This window comes from Homo sapiens, chromosome 18, assembly GCF_000001405.40.
Source record: "Homo sapiens chromosome 18, GRCh38.p14 Primary Assembly".
In the NCBI taxonomy this organism is placed as follows: Eukaryota; Metazoa; Chordata; class Mammalia; order Primates; family Hominidae; genus Homo; species Homo sapiens.
The window spans coordinates 70,264,406-70,278,175 of NC_000018.10; the positions used below are offsets into that span (position 1 = coordinate 70,264,406).

General features: G+C 40.5%; 1 annotated feature.

Moving 5' to 3' along the window:
• Window positions 12,609-13,109: an enhancer, noted in NCBI's record as "H3K27ac hESC enhancer chr18:67944250-67944750 (GRCh37/hg19 assembly coordinates)". NCBI's record gives its function as "activates a minimal SCP1, AML or CMV promoter by ChIP-STARR-seq in naive H9 embryonic stem cells {active_cell/tissue: H9 hESC(naive)}" and the evidence as "EXISTENCE:reporter gene assay evidence [ECO:0000049][PMID:30033119]".

Here is a 13,770-nt window from a genome sequence, read left to right on the forward strand (position 1 = left end):
TGAGCCACCGCGCTGAGCCAATCTTTAAAAAAAAAAAAATTTAAAAATTAAAAGTAGAAGAACTCATGTAAGCATTTTTACAACCTACCTATGTTTCTCATAGCTGAGCTACTGGTACCAATTAATTTAATTAGAACTGAATGTCAGTTTTAATGTGTCTATTTCCACTGGTTTGACAGACCGAAAGTCAACAAAATTTTGCCTAGTCACAAAATTTTATTATTTTTGTTAGTTAAAAATTAACAGAAAAGCTCTGCTCTTGGCTTAAAAGTATTAATTAACATAAAATGATTTGAAAATTTTCTTTCTTCCCTTGGAGCAGTTACTTAGGAAATACATCATCTTTTAATAGTCCTGATTTACAAGATGGATTTTTTTTAAATCAGGTGATTGACTTAAAAGGAGAAACTGAAAGATATAAATAAGATTTGGGAGGAAAATAATGTTGGGATTCTTCTATTCCCTGATTTGAAAAAAATAAAAATAAAAATTCAGCCAAAATATTTTGAGACAATGTGTCATTCTGATGTAAACCAAAAATAAAATTCTAAGCTTCTCAACCATCCAAATGGACCACTCCTTTCAGCCAAGGGCATTCCAAAGTTAACCTGAAAAAACTAGTTCAGGCCATGACGGGACGGGGGCAGTTGAGCACGCCTCATTATACACCTTTCTCCTTCTTAGAATTCAGGCCCAGCTTACCAGCATTAACATCAACACAGACCTTAAGACTGATAGAACAGACTCTTTAAGTCTGGTAAGAAACATTTATAATCTAGTCTCTCTGAAGCAGGTTACCTGGAAGCTTCATATGCATGATGAAACCTTGGTCTCCACAAACCCTTATGGTAACCCAGACATTCCTCTTTATTGATTCCATGTCTTTAGACAATAACTCAACCAACTGTCAATCAGAAAAATCTTTTTTTTTTTTTTTTTGAGATGGAGTCCTACTGTGTCACCCAGGATGGAGTGCAGTGGCGCTATCTTGGCTCAGTACAACCTCTGCCTCCTGCATGCAAATGATTCTCCCACCTCGGCCCCCCAAGTAGCTAGGATTACAGATGTGCACCACCACGCCTGGCTAATTTTTGTATTTTTAGTAGAGATGGGGTTTCGCCATGTTGGCCAGGCTGGTCTTGAACTCCTTGCCTCAAGTGATCTGCCTGCCTTGGCCTCCCAAAGTGCTGGGATTACAGGTATGAGCCATTGCACCCAGCAGAAAAATCTTTGAATCTGCCTACGACCTGGAAAATCCCCCACCTTTCAATTGTCCCAGCTTTCTGGACTGAACCAATGTACATCTTACATATATTGATTGATGTGTTATGTCTCCCTGAAATGTATAAAACCAAGTTGTAGCTCAGCTGCCTTGGGCGCATGTTCTCAGGATCTCCTGAGGGCTGCGTTACAGGCCACTGGTCACTCACATTTGGCTCAGAATAAATCTCTTGAAATATTTTACAGAGTTTGACTCTTTTTGTTGAGACTAAATAGGTAGCATTAACATTAAAATGTTTAATAGTAATATTTCTGAAGATTAGCTGTAATTTAAACCTGCTTTCTATTTATTAATTTTACTATATGAACCCTCATCTCTTCTTTCAAAATAACAGTAACCAAAGTGTATACTAACCAAGAAGCATTAAGTTCTAGAAAACATAAAGGGAATGTATTTCATCTCACAGAAAACATCTCCTGTTTTATATTACATCTGCTTTAAAATTTGGAGGGTAAACATTTTTGCATATTCAAGCATGGCTTTGAAATTTGAGACTCGTGTTACTCGTTGGTATGACAGAGCAGAAGTAAAATGTTTGAAGGTATCTTGGCCTTGCTCTCAGAAACATCCTGGGACAACCTGGGGCCAAGCTGAGAATCTCCTATTCAGATCTATCCTTGTCTGGTTCCTCAAGATCTACAAACTTGGCTGGCGTATCCTTGGCCTGCCTGAAAGTTAAACCTATCGCTCTGCACCAACCAGCAATAAAGACTAAATATTTTATATTCCAGCCATTTGTCAGGAATCAAGGGATTTATCTGGGTGCCACTCAATACTTATCGCAACTCAGTTGAGAGACAGTATCATTACAGAGATAACCTGCCTGAAATCCAGTGAGGTAGTCCTCTGAAAAGCTAACTAATTGGACTACAGTTGTTTCCTCCAAGATCCCCCCTGCCCAACCCTAAAATTGTTTTCACACAAAATTGAATCTGCAAATAGCTAACGACAGAAGGAAATCTGAATCACACTAAATAGCTCCCTAATAGTTTCCTAAATAGCTCCCTAGGTCTCTCTTTGTTGTTTTACCTTTTCGAGTTAAATCCTGGGGTTGCCAGATTTTTCCTGAGTTTATGCAGATGCACCAATATTTTTAAAGGAGAATCTTCTAGATTCTATAGAATCTATAGAATAGAAGACTATTCCAGAAGGTACTGGTCAAAATTGCTCATTGGCCATTTTTGATAGATGTTAGTTTGCTATTGTGATGAACTATATACTATATGCCAATAAAATATAATTTTCCAATAGGTATTTACTTATTCCTTTAGGAAATGAAGACTTGTCTTTTGCCAAGTACGTTTCTTAAGTTGGTGCACAGCCTATTCTGTGTCTGGGTCTCATCTGAAGCAAACTTTTTCCTAATGACAATGTAGGGATAATGAAGAGAGTAGAACGAGGTGCATAGGTGGCTGACTTAGCATTGATTGTTGTGACAATTATTAACGAAAACCTTAAAGTTAACTCTACCCTAAAGCTCTCTTGCCTGCCACCATGTAAGACATGCCTTGTTCTTCCTTCACCTTCCGCCATGATTGTGAGGCATAAAGTTTAGGGATGAGACAGCAATAAAAACTGGTTTAGTCCCCCTTTCTCATGTAATTGGTGGGTCACTTCTTCCCTACAAAATATGGACATGGAAAGATGACTATTTTGACGTCAGAAGTAAAGAGAAAACCAAGGAGATAAATTAGAGTGTAGGGGCAAAGAGAAAACATCCCCTTTACTGTGAAGCTGAAACCCCGTCTCTACTAAAAATACAAAAATTAGCTGGGCATGGTGGCGAGCAACTGTAATCCCAGTTACTTGGGAGGCTGAGGCAGGAGAATCACTTGAACCCAGGAGGCGGAGGTTGCATGAGCCGAGATCCCACCGCGGCACTCCAGCCTGGGTGACAGAGCGAGACTCCATCTCAAAATAAATAAAAAATAAAAATAAAAAAATTATCAGCTTCTGAGTAAATTCAAATATATACAAAGGCTTGATGACTAGAAATAATATGTAAATTCTGCCCAATTTTGCTATGAGCCTAAAACTGCTCTGAACTCTATGTAAAATTCTGGAAAACAACATAATAAAATAAAATTCTGCAAATGAGCTACTTATGTACCTATTGGCCACTTAGAAATCCTCTTTGTTCCTCATGCTGAACATCATGCCTCACTCTCTTTAAGCGGCAGAGGCATAGGGTGTGATGGTTCAGGAGGGGAGGCAAACCAGACAATGTGAGTTCAAATCCTGGTTTTGCCACTTTTAGCTCTATGATACTGGGCAAGTTATTTAACCTCTCTGTGACTTATTTTCTTTATCTATAAAATGAAATGTATTGTCTACTACTGCATAACAAATCACCCAAAACACAGTGGTCAAAAACAATAAATACGTATTATCCCACAGTTTCTTTGGGTCATGAATTCAGAAGAGGCTTATCTGGGTAGTTCTGATTTGGATTCTCTTCTGAGGTTGCAGTCAAAATGTGGGCTGGGCTTCAGTCATTTAAAAACTTGTCTGGGGCCAGAGTTTCCAAGGTGGCTGCTATCAGCTTGAATTTCTCCCCAGAAAATGGGGTTTTCTTTTCTACTACATTGTCAGGCTGCAAATTTTTCAAACTTTTATGCTGTCACTCATGTGGTGAGTTTCTAACCACATAAGCTATTCCACGAGCTGCTTGAGTTTCCTCACAAGATGGTGACTGGCTTCTTCCAGAGCAAGTAATTCAAAAGAGCAAGATGGAAGCCACAATGTTTCTTATGGTCTGGCCTCAGAAGTCAGGACACTAAATCACTTCTGTGATATCCTATTGGTTACACAAGTCAGCTCTCCTCACTGTAGGAAGGGATGACACAAATACCAGACGATGGGGATCATTGAGGATCGTCTTAAAGTCAGGCTACCAAATGGGGATAATAATAGTATTTGGACTTCACAGTGTGATGTGTAACATATTCACTAATTTAGTATGTAAGGCATTTAGGGCTTATCTAATATGTAAAGCACTCAGCATCTATGATCTATTATTATAATTTTAACCTTCCCTCATTCTTGCTTTTCCTTTTTCGCAACTAAGCCTGTTCAGTCAGAAACTCAACTATCTTTCCAATTAATTGGCATTATTAGAACAAGAGCATGCTACACTCTTACATATTTTATTCACGTCTAATCAACTGCCTATTTAACATTTTACCTAGAAATGGCAAAAGAACTTAAACTCAACCAAACCAAGATCATGATATTATCCCTGACAAGCCAGTGTCTCCTTTCTTAGCAAAAGGGACCACCATCCATCTACCCAGTTACATGTGTAACCCATCTTCTTCCAATCCCATAACTCCCTTTGTTCATGTAATAATCATCTCATTTGTACTAATGCAGTAACTTTTAACTTCCTGCTTCTGCTTTTGCCTCCTCTTAATCCATTTTTCAGTCTGAAGGCAGCACAATATTTCTTTACTCTATCCTTTCTTGACTAGGTTAAATCTGCTTATTATATGCTCTCATAGTACTTACCACCCACATTTATTTGTGTGATTTTTTTAGGATAGTGACATTGTATTAGTTAGGATTCTCCAGAGAAACAGAACCAATAGGATATGTGTACTTAGGTGCATATATTTGTGTATATTTGTTAAAGAGTATTATAAAGGGTTTACTCACACAATCATGGAGGTTGGAAAATCCCAAGATCCACAGTCAGTAAGCTGGAGACCCAGGAGAGCTGATGGTGTAAGTTCCAGGATGGCAGACTCAAGACCCAAAAGGGTCAATGTTTCAGTTTGAGTCCAACTTTAAAGTCAGGAAGTAAAAAAAAAAAAAAAAAAAAAAAAAAAGATATCCTGGCTCAAGCATTCAGGCATCAACAGTAGTTGTCTTGACTTTTTTGTTTTATGCAGGTCTTCACTTGTGATGTTTATTACTGAGTGTCAACTTGATTGGATCGGGGGATACAAAGTATTAATCCTGGGTTTGTCTGTGTGGGTGTTGCCAAAAGAGATTAACATTTGAGTCAGTGGACTGCAGAAGGCAGATCCACCCTTACTTAATCTGGTGGGTACAATCTAATTAACTTCTAGCAAATATGAAGCAGGCAGAAAAACATGAAAAGGAGAGATGGGCTTAGCCTCGCAGCCTACATCTTTCTCCCATGCTGGATGCTTCCTGCCCTCAAACACTGGACTCCAAGTTCTTCAGTTTTGGGACTCGGACTGGCTGTCCTTTCTCCTCAGCAGGCAGATGGCCTATTGTTGGACCTTGTGATCATGCAAGTTAATACATAATAAACTCCCCTTTATATATATATCCTATTAGTTCTGTCCCTCTAAGAGAACCTTAATACATCACTTGATTGAATGATGCCTACTCACATAGAGAAAGCAAACTGCTTTACTCAATCGATGAATTGAAAAGCTCATCTCACCCAGGAACACCTTCACAGACATAGAATAATGTTTGCACCATTTGTTTCAGTACAAGTTGACAGGTAAAATTAATCATCATAGTCATCTCCCATGATGTCCAGGAAAACATGCCTGTGTATCCCCAGTACCTAACACAAAATAGACTGTCAATACATAGCTGATCAATGGGGGAAAGCTGTATTTTCATCATCTGTAATATATTCATTGTATTAGTCTGTTCTCATGCTGCTAATAAAGACATACCCGAGGCTGGGTAATTTATAAAGGAAAGAGGTTTAATGGAGTCACAGTTCCACATGGCTGGGGAGGCCTTCACAATCATGGCGGAATGTGAAAGAAGAGCAAAGTCACGTTTTACATGGTGACAGGCAAGACAGAATATGCAGGGGAACTCCCTTTTATAAAATCATCAGATCTCATAATACTTATTCACTATCATGAGAACAGCACAGGAAAGACCTACCCCCATGATTCAATTACCTCCCATCCTGTCCCTCCCATGGCACGTGGGAATTATGGCAGCTACAATTCGAGATGAGATTTGGGTGGGGACACAGCCAAACCAGATCATTCACTTTTCTTTTTTTTCTCATTTTAACCACACAAAAAATAGTTGACAATGTGTGGTACTAAGGAATTAATGTATGTAAACTTAGGCATCTGTTAAGAAAGAAAACATTATTCTTTTCCAACATGTCTCATCAAAACCACTCAGTGGACATAAATGTTCCCACTCCTGACTCCAGGCATTATCAGATAGTAAAAAATTATCTCATCACTTCTAGATTTAAAAAAAATATCCAGTCCTTGGTCATATCAAAACTCAGAACCATTATCCAATGTAAAATGTCTCTCTACTCCTCTAAGAATCAGAGCTTCAGGTTTGGAGGACAGGATTGTGGTCAGCTTCTGGGTCATTTCCTCCCTCCATGTCAACCCACATTTTCTAGCTACTGTCTTGAGACCTACTAGTATAAGAAAAGATAATAATTATTATTATTATTGACAGAAAGGTCTCGCCAGAGATAAAGGTGTCACCTGCCATTAGTGAGCTCACTGTAGCAGATCCCCAGTGCTGATTTCTTTTCTCATGAGGTACCTTTGTAAAACTGCCTTTGCAAAAATTATAACAATGAGAAAATTATGACCATGAAAGAGATCTGACTGAACTGCCTTCATCTTGCTTCTAACCTCCAAGCTGTCGTTATTCATTCCCGGGCATAGGCCAAACTATCTTTGAGAGGAACTTAGTTTATAGTTTAACTTTGAAGCAAAGATGATAATGGCCCTTTCCCTAAATAAATCCCCTACTTGTCTGGGGACCAGACTGCCTTTGTAGGAATGACAAACTAGCCACAAGATTAGATGTTATGGTTTCAAAGTCACGCAGCCAGAGGCCACAAGTTTCTAAATCACCCCAGTTGCTCCTAGGGATAACATCACTATTGTAAAAACTAAGATTGGTGCTTAAGATATTTTTGAGACCCTGCACCTGATGGATCAGCTGGCACCACCCAGATAGATAAACTAGCCCTCTGATCTTACAGCCCTCACCCAGGAACCAACTCAACACAAGAGGACAGGCTTACCTTCCTAAGATGATCTCTGACCTGACCAATCAGCACTCCCCACTCCTTGGTCCCCCTGCCCCCAAATTATCCTTAAAAAACTCCAGTCTCCAAATTTTCAACTTTGGGGGAGACTGAGTTGAGTAATAATAAAACTCCAGTCTCCCATTCACCTGGCTCTGCAGGAATTAAACTCTTTCTCTATTGCAATTCCCCTGTCTTGATAAATTGGCTCTATCTGGGCAGCAGGCTAAACGAACTCTTTGGGTGGTTACATTTGTGGTTCTTTAGAGACATTTCTTCCTCTTCCCTTATTCAACTGGGTTCGCTCACCTACAGTTCTCCTGATTCATTCAGAGCGTGTCTCTACCAACTGACCTACAGACTTGCACTCAGCTCCTGTCTTTCCAGACATGCACTGAACTGCTCCCCATCTGATACAGCTATTTCAAGTCCTGGCAAATAAAAAAGAGATCCAGACTTAGTGAAGAAAGACTTTATTCAAAAACATTATTGAGAATGTGGGAGTATTACTGGGAAGTGTGGGGGTCCTTGATTCTTACCTTCTTGAAGGAAAGAATTCAGCCAAGAAACCAATTAGTAAAGTAAGCAAAGAGGTGTATTAAGGACAAAAAGAGTACACTCCAAGAGAGAAGCGGGCTGACCTTCCCAGGAACAAACCTGAGAGTTCTGTGTTGCAGTTTTTAAGAGGTCAGACGTTTCCTTTAAGTTCCTGCCTCTGTCTTAAGTCTTTGTCTAGTTTCCTGCTTCTGTGTTAAGTCTCTGCCTTTGACCCCGCCTAATTCCCTGCTCAGGTTTGTGGGATTCTCCCTTACTGTCAGTTGATGCACATGTGTGGGACCACATAATCAATATTAATCCTACCTACTGGTGGTATTGCTCATTACCACCACCCCAGGAAGGTTGTATAGTGGTCAGATCTGTACTTATTGCGCCCACGTATCTCTCATTAATTTCCCTTTTTGCCCTTTTGCCCTTCTTATCAACATGTAGCTAGCTAGATTCTGACAATTTTATCTGCAGAATGAGCATTGACTGGACATCCTAAGGGGTGTTTCAGGGTATTTCTCTCTGTGTAGATATTTCTCCTCTTCTCTGCTCATACTTAGTATGCAGGTTTCAGATGGTCTCTGGAGCTTGAGATTTCCCAGAGCTTCCTCCCCCACGGGCTTCCTTTCCTGTTCATGTCTAACTATCTGCCTACTCTAACAGGGGGAGTGACTATTGCTCCATGGGAGACCAACTATTACAATGGATTTAGATATCTAACATCAGTCTCTGCACCACTCAAACACCAAGGGCATAGGTCAAGCTCTCAAATTTGTTTCTCTGTAGCCTTCTCATCACTTGCCTTAAAATGGGGAGGAAACAGTTCCACCTCTCCCTCATTACAGGATGAAACACACAACTTCTGTTTTCTATGGGAAGCTAGGCGGGTGGGCCAATTCAGGCAGAACAGGTTGTTGAGCAAGCCTTCTGCAAAGTCTGGCAAAGATAGCCAAGCACTTAATATAAAGGTACTTAGCACCTATTATTCCCAACCTCAGCCAAAACTCTGAGCCAACTCTGACAATAAAATGGGTCCTGGCAGGGGAAAGTCACACACACTGAAACCTCTTGTACAGTACTTAGTTCAAAGAGAGTGACTTTTGATCTTAAGTCATTTGGTGAGCCACTACTAAAATGTGACTCAGGATGGGAAATTTATATATACCAATGTCTAAGGTATGTTTATTATTGTACAAAACACTGAAATGACCAGCACTTTTACCTGACCTAGCACAAATGTCATACTTCTTAGATACGGATGCTGTTAATTGAAGAGAGTAAAGTTACTTCTACATAAATTATACTATTAATCTAAGTGCCTCAGTAATCATTGATTGGCCTATGTATCACTATTTACATCCTATATGTTTGTTCTGGGTTGCTCACAAAGTGAAATAACACCACATTGCTCCATTTTCAATATCTGCTCCTTTCAATAGTTCTTCTTTCCTCTCTTAATGAAATAAATCTGACTTTCATCAGATTTAAAGTACTTCATAATCTATGACTGACTAATTTCATTCTCAAGAATGTGTCTGAGGCTGGGTGCGGTGGCTCATGCCTGTAATCCCAGCACTTTGGGAGGTCAAGGTGGGCAGATCACGAGGTCAGGAGATTGAGACCATCCTGGCTAACACAGTGAAACCCCGTCTCTACTAAAAATACAAAAAAATTAGCCTGGCGTGGTGGCGCATGCCTGTAGTCCCAACTATTCAGGAGGCTGAGGCAGGAGAATCGCTTGCACCTGGGAGGCGGAGGTTGCAGTGAGCCGAGATCACGTCACTGCACTCCAGCCTGGGCGACAGAGAGAGACTCTGTCTCAAAAAAAAAAAAAAAAAACCCACAAATCAAAACAAAACAAAAAAAGAATGTGTCTGAATTGCAAATCGTAGGACAACTACTTTAAAATAATTATTGACAATGTGGGAGACCGGAATATAACACCCCAAAATATGAAAGATTGTTGAGCTAAAGGCAATTAAAAAGAAGCCCATGTAGCAAAGCTCCCTATGCTCCCCGTATTCACCTAAAAGCAGGACATAGGCTTATGAAGACAAAGGGTATCCCGCCTTCCTTTCTACCAGGGAGAATGAAGATTAACCACTGAACTCAACCATCTGGAGATGGTATAAGAGGAATCTACAAGAATAAGCTTTTCTAACTAGCTTTTATCTATCATTTATTTTCACTCATCCCCGTTTGCCACCCCTACAGACTAACAGTGCTTTTCCTTTGTCCTGTCACTTCTCTCAAAATTTACTGTGTTTTGGTGAAGATGCTGAAGGAGTTGGAATTCAAAGCCACCTCTTTGAGAAGTACTCACTCCCTGGGTTTCCCACATGTAGATGTGAATTATACCTGTAAATAAAACTGCTTTTTTCTTCTTAACCTGTCTTTTGTTACAGGGGTCCATTCCAACTAAGAACCTAGAACGGTTGAAGAAAAAAGTATTTTTCTTTTACCTACACCATTCTAGCAATTTGTAACTTTGGGTTAATACCTTCTGAAAAATAATAGTGGAAAAATAAAAGGTTTGTTAGTGATGGAAACTCTCCTCTTGACCAAACTTTAGTGGAGCTCCCCTAAATTCTGTTCTTGACAAGCCTCCATCCTTGTCAAACCTGCATAGCCCAGTTTAAAAACTCCCGTTAAGTCAATTTAGAGAGAATTTCCACCCTTGATATCTGATCACTTCCCATATCTAATCCACTTCCTCATCCCCACCATCCCGCAAGTCATGTCTGATCACCTGGGCCCGTCTTCAGCAAGAATTCTATCAAGTCTGTTTAGCCAGAATCTCCCCTTACCCCTTATGTTTCCTCTTAGCAATTTTCTATCCACTGGCCCCACCCTGCTCTTTGCTATAAATCTCCACTGATCCATGCTGTACTTGGAATTGAACCCGGCTCTATACTGAGGTCTCTTTTCCTCTATTGCAATAGCTCCTGAGTAAAATCTGTTTCATCACTTGCTATGGTCTGAATGTTTGTGTCTTCTCAAAATTCTTATGTTCAAATCCTAATCCCCAATGTGACAGTGTTGGGAGGTAGAGCCTTTGGCAGATGATTAGCGCAAGAAGGCGCCTTCACGAATGGGATTTGTGCACATATAAAAGAGGCGCTGAAGAGCTCGCTCACTTTTTCTGCCATGTGGGGACAGAGCAAAAAGATGGTTGTTCACAAACCAGTGAGGACCCAACCAGACACTGAATTTGCCGACGCCACAATCACAAACTTTCAGCCTCCAGAACTCTAAGAAATACATTTCCATTGTTTATACACTACCCAGTTTATGGTATTTTGTTATAGCAGCCTGAACAAAGACGCTACTTGAACTACTGTCACTTTCTAGTTCTCTTTAACATAAGGAACTAGGCTTTGTAAAAGTCATTAGCCTTAGGCCATGTGTGGTGGCTCATGCCTGTAATGTCGGCACTTTGGGAGGCTGAGGTGGGAAGATAACTTGAGGCCAGGAGTTTGAGGCCAGCCTGGGCAACATTGCAAGACCATGTCTCCACAGAAAATATTGAGCCTGTCATGGTGGCACCACCTATAGTCCCACTACTTGGGAGGCTGAGGCAGGAGGATCACTTGAGCCCAGGAATATGAGACTGTAGTGAGCTATGATTGTGCCACTGCACTCTAGCCCGGGTGACAGAGGAAGACCCTCTCTAAATAAATAAATAAATAAATAAATAAATAAAAGTAAGTCATTAACCTTGAACATATGTTCTTGTTCTAATTAAAACCTTATTTATATCTAGAACCTAAAAATCTTTCTGAGTGGGACTTTACACATGACTTGAGATAAATAAACAAAAATCTGATTTGAAAATGTGTTATAAAGTTTGTTAAAGAGTGACTAAATTAAAAGCAACTGAAAAGTTTGGCAAACTTAGTGACTCTTATATAATTAGTTCCATGTATGATCTTCGAATAAATTACTCATCCAGATTCTCATTCACAAGCTGGCAATAATTTTACTAAGCACATCTGGAAATTTTGTGAACGGAAATAAAAACACTGTGAAATAAATTTATCATCAGTCTTTTTCTATCATCCATGTGGTCCCACACAAAATTAGTATTTTCACATATATTTTTTAAAAACCAAATACGATGACATCATTAAATCCTTCATTTATTCAGCAATGTTTCACTAAACACCCACTGAGTACCAGCCCACTTTCAGGTGCTGAAGATACAGTGGTGAATGAAGAAACCTCTGTCCTTTAGGATTTTGAAGTCTCCCATGAGAGAAAGACTTTACCAAACAATCATGTGAACAATTACATGATTACAGTCATAATAAGGCCCATGAAAGAAAAGTAATAACAGCTGCCATTTATTAAGGATTTACTCTCAGCCCGCCTCTGTGCTAAGGGTATTCTATAATCATTTAATCCCCTGAGAAACCCTTGGAGGTAAGATCTATTATGTCTGTTGACAAATACTCTCTCCACCTAACTCTAGTCAGGCTTCTCTTAGCCCTCTAGCCCTCAACAATCAGTGGACATCCTTGGTTTCTGTCAGTCTGCATCACTCAGTTGTAGCAAGAATCCTGTTAAGTCAGTTTACAAACGACATTCATCCTGAATATCTGGTCAAATTCCTTATCCCCACCATCCCCCAGGTGATGTCTGATCAGCCTGGCCCGCCTTCAGCAAGAATCCTGTCAAGTTGGTTTAGCCAGAATCCCCCTTACGTCTGATGTTTCCTCTCAGTACTTTTCCAACCACTGACCCCACCCTGCTTTTTGGCTATAAATGACCACTTGTCCATGCTGTATTTAGAATTGAGCCTGGTTCTATACTGAGGTCTCTTTCCACTATTGCAATAGTTCCTGAATAAAATCTGCACTCACAGCATTAACTCCTGCCCAGCTCCGGTTTTATTTAACTGTGACTGGCTTCCTTTTTTTTTTTTTTTTTTTGGCTTGCCCTGTGCCACTGCCATCTTTACCTTATGGGAAACTCATTCCCTAGAGTTTAAGTGGACCGCTCCATGCCTAATTCCACAGACATGCGTGGACACAGGACCCAGCCTGGTCAGCCAGAGAACCGCATTTCCCTGACGACATTTATTATTCAAGTCAGCCAGTTAGAACCTTCCCTGCGGGAAAATTTCCCTCTCTCCTCTGGCATCACAAACAGAGAGAGTCAAAAGCAGAAATGGCTTCTGGTCTCTGAATGCAGGTGTGGGTTTGAATCCCAGTTCTGACAGAAATGACTAAAGACAAGTGCAACGCTTCAAAAGGCAAGAAAAGAGTGGGCTGGACCTCAAGCTCCCAACACAGCAAAGAATCCCACCTCCAAGCCTGCTCTTTAGGGACCACTTAGACCTGATTAATAGGATGTCAGGGGAACCACAAGGAGAGGAAGATGAGAAGGCCCTGGGTCTGCAGGAATCACATTAGCAGATTCATGTGTAAACCTAGAGAAGTAAAACAAACCCCATTTTCTTTTTTTTTTTTGAGATGGAGTTTCGCTCTTGTTGCCCAGGCTGGAGTGTGATGGCGCGATCTCAGCTCACTGCAACCTCCACCTCCCAGGTTCAAGTGATTCTCCTGCCTCAGCCTCCAGAAAGTAGCTGGGATTACAGGCGCCCGCCACCACGCCTAGCTAATTTTTGTATTTTTAGTAGAGATGGGGTTTCACCATGTTGGCCAGGCTGGTCTCAAACTTCTGACCTCGTGATCCACCCGCCTCGGCCTCCCAAAGTGCTGGGATTATAGCCATGAGCCACCATGCCCGGCTCAAACCCCATTTTCAATAATAGTTAAGTGTTGAATGTTTCTGCCAAGCCAGTAAGATAAAAGCTCTGGGCTGTATTTCACCTGATTTAAAGCAAATAAAGAAAAAGGGCCGGGCATGGTGGCTCACGCCTATAATCCTAGCACTTTGGGAAGTCGAGAGGGGCAAATCATTTGAGGTCAGG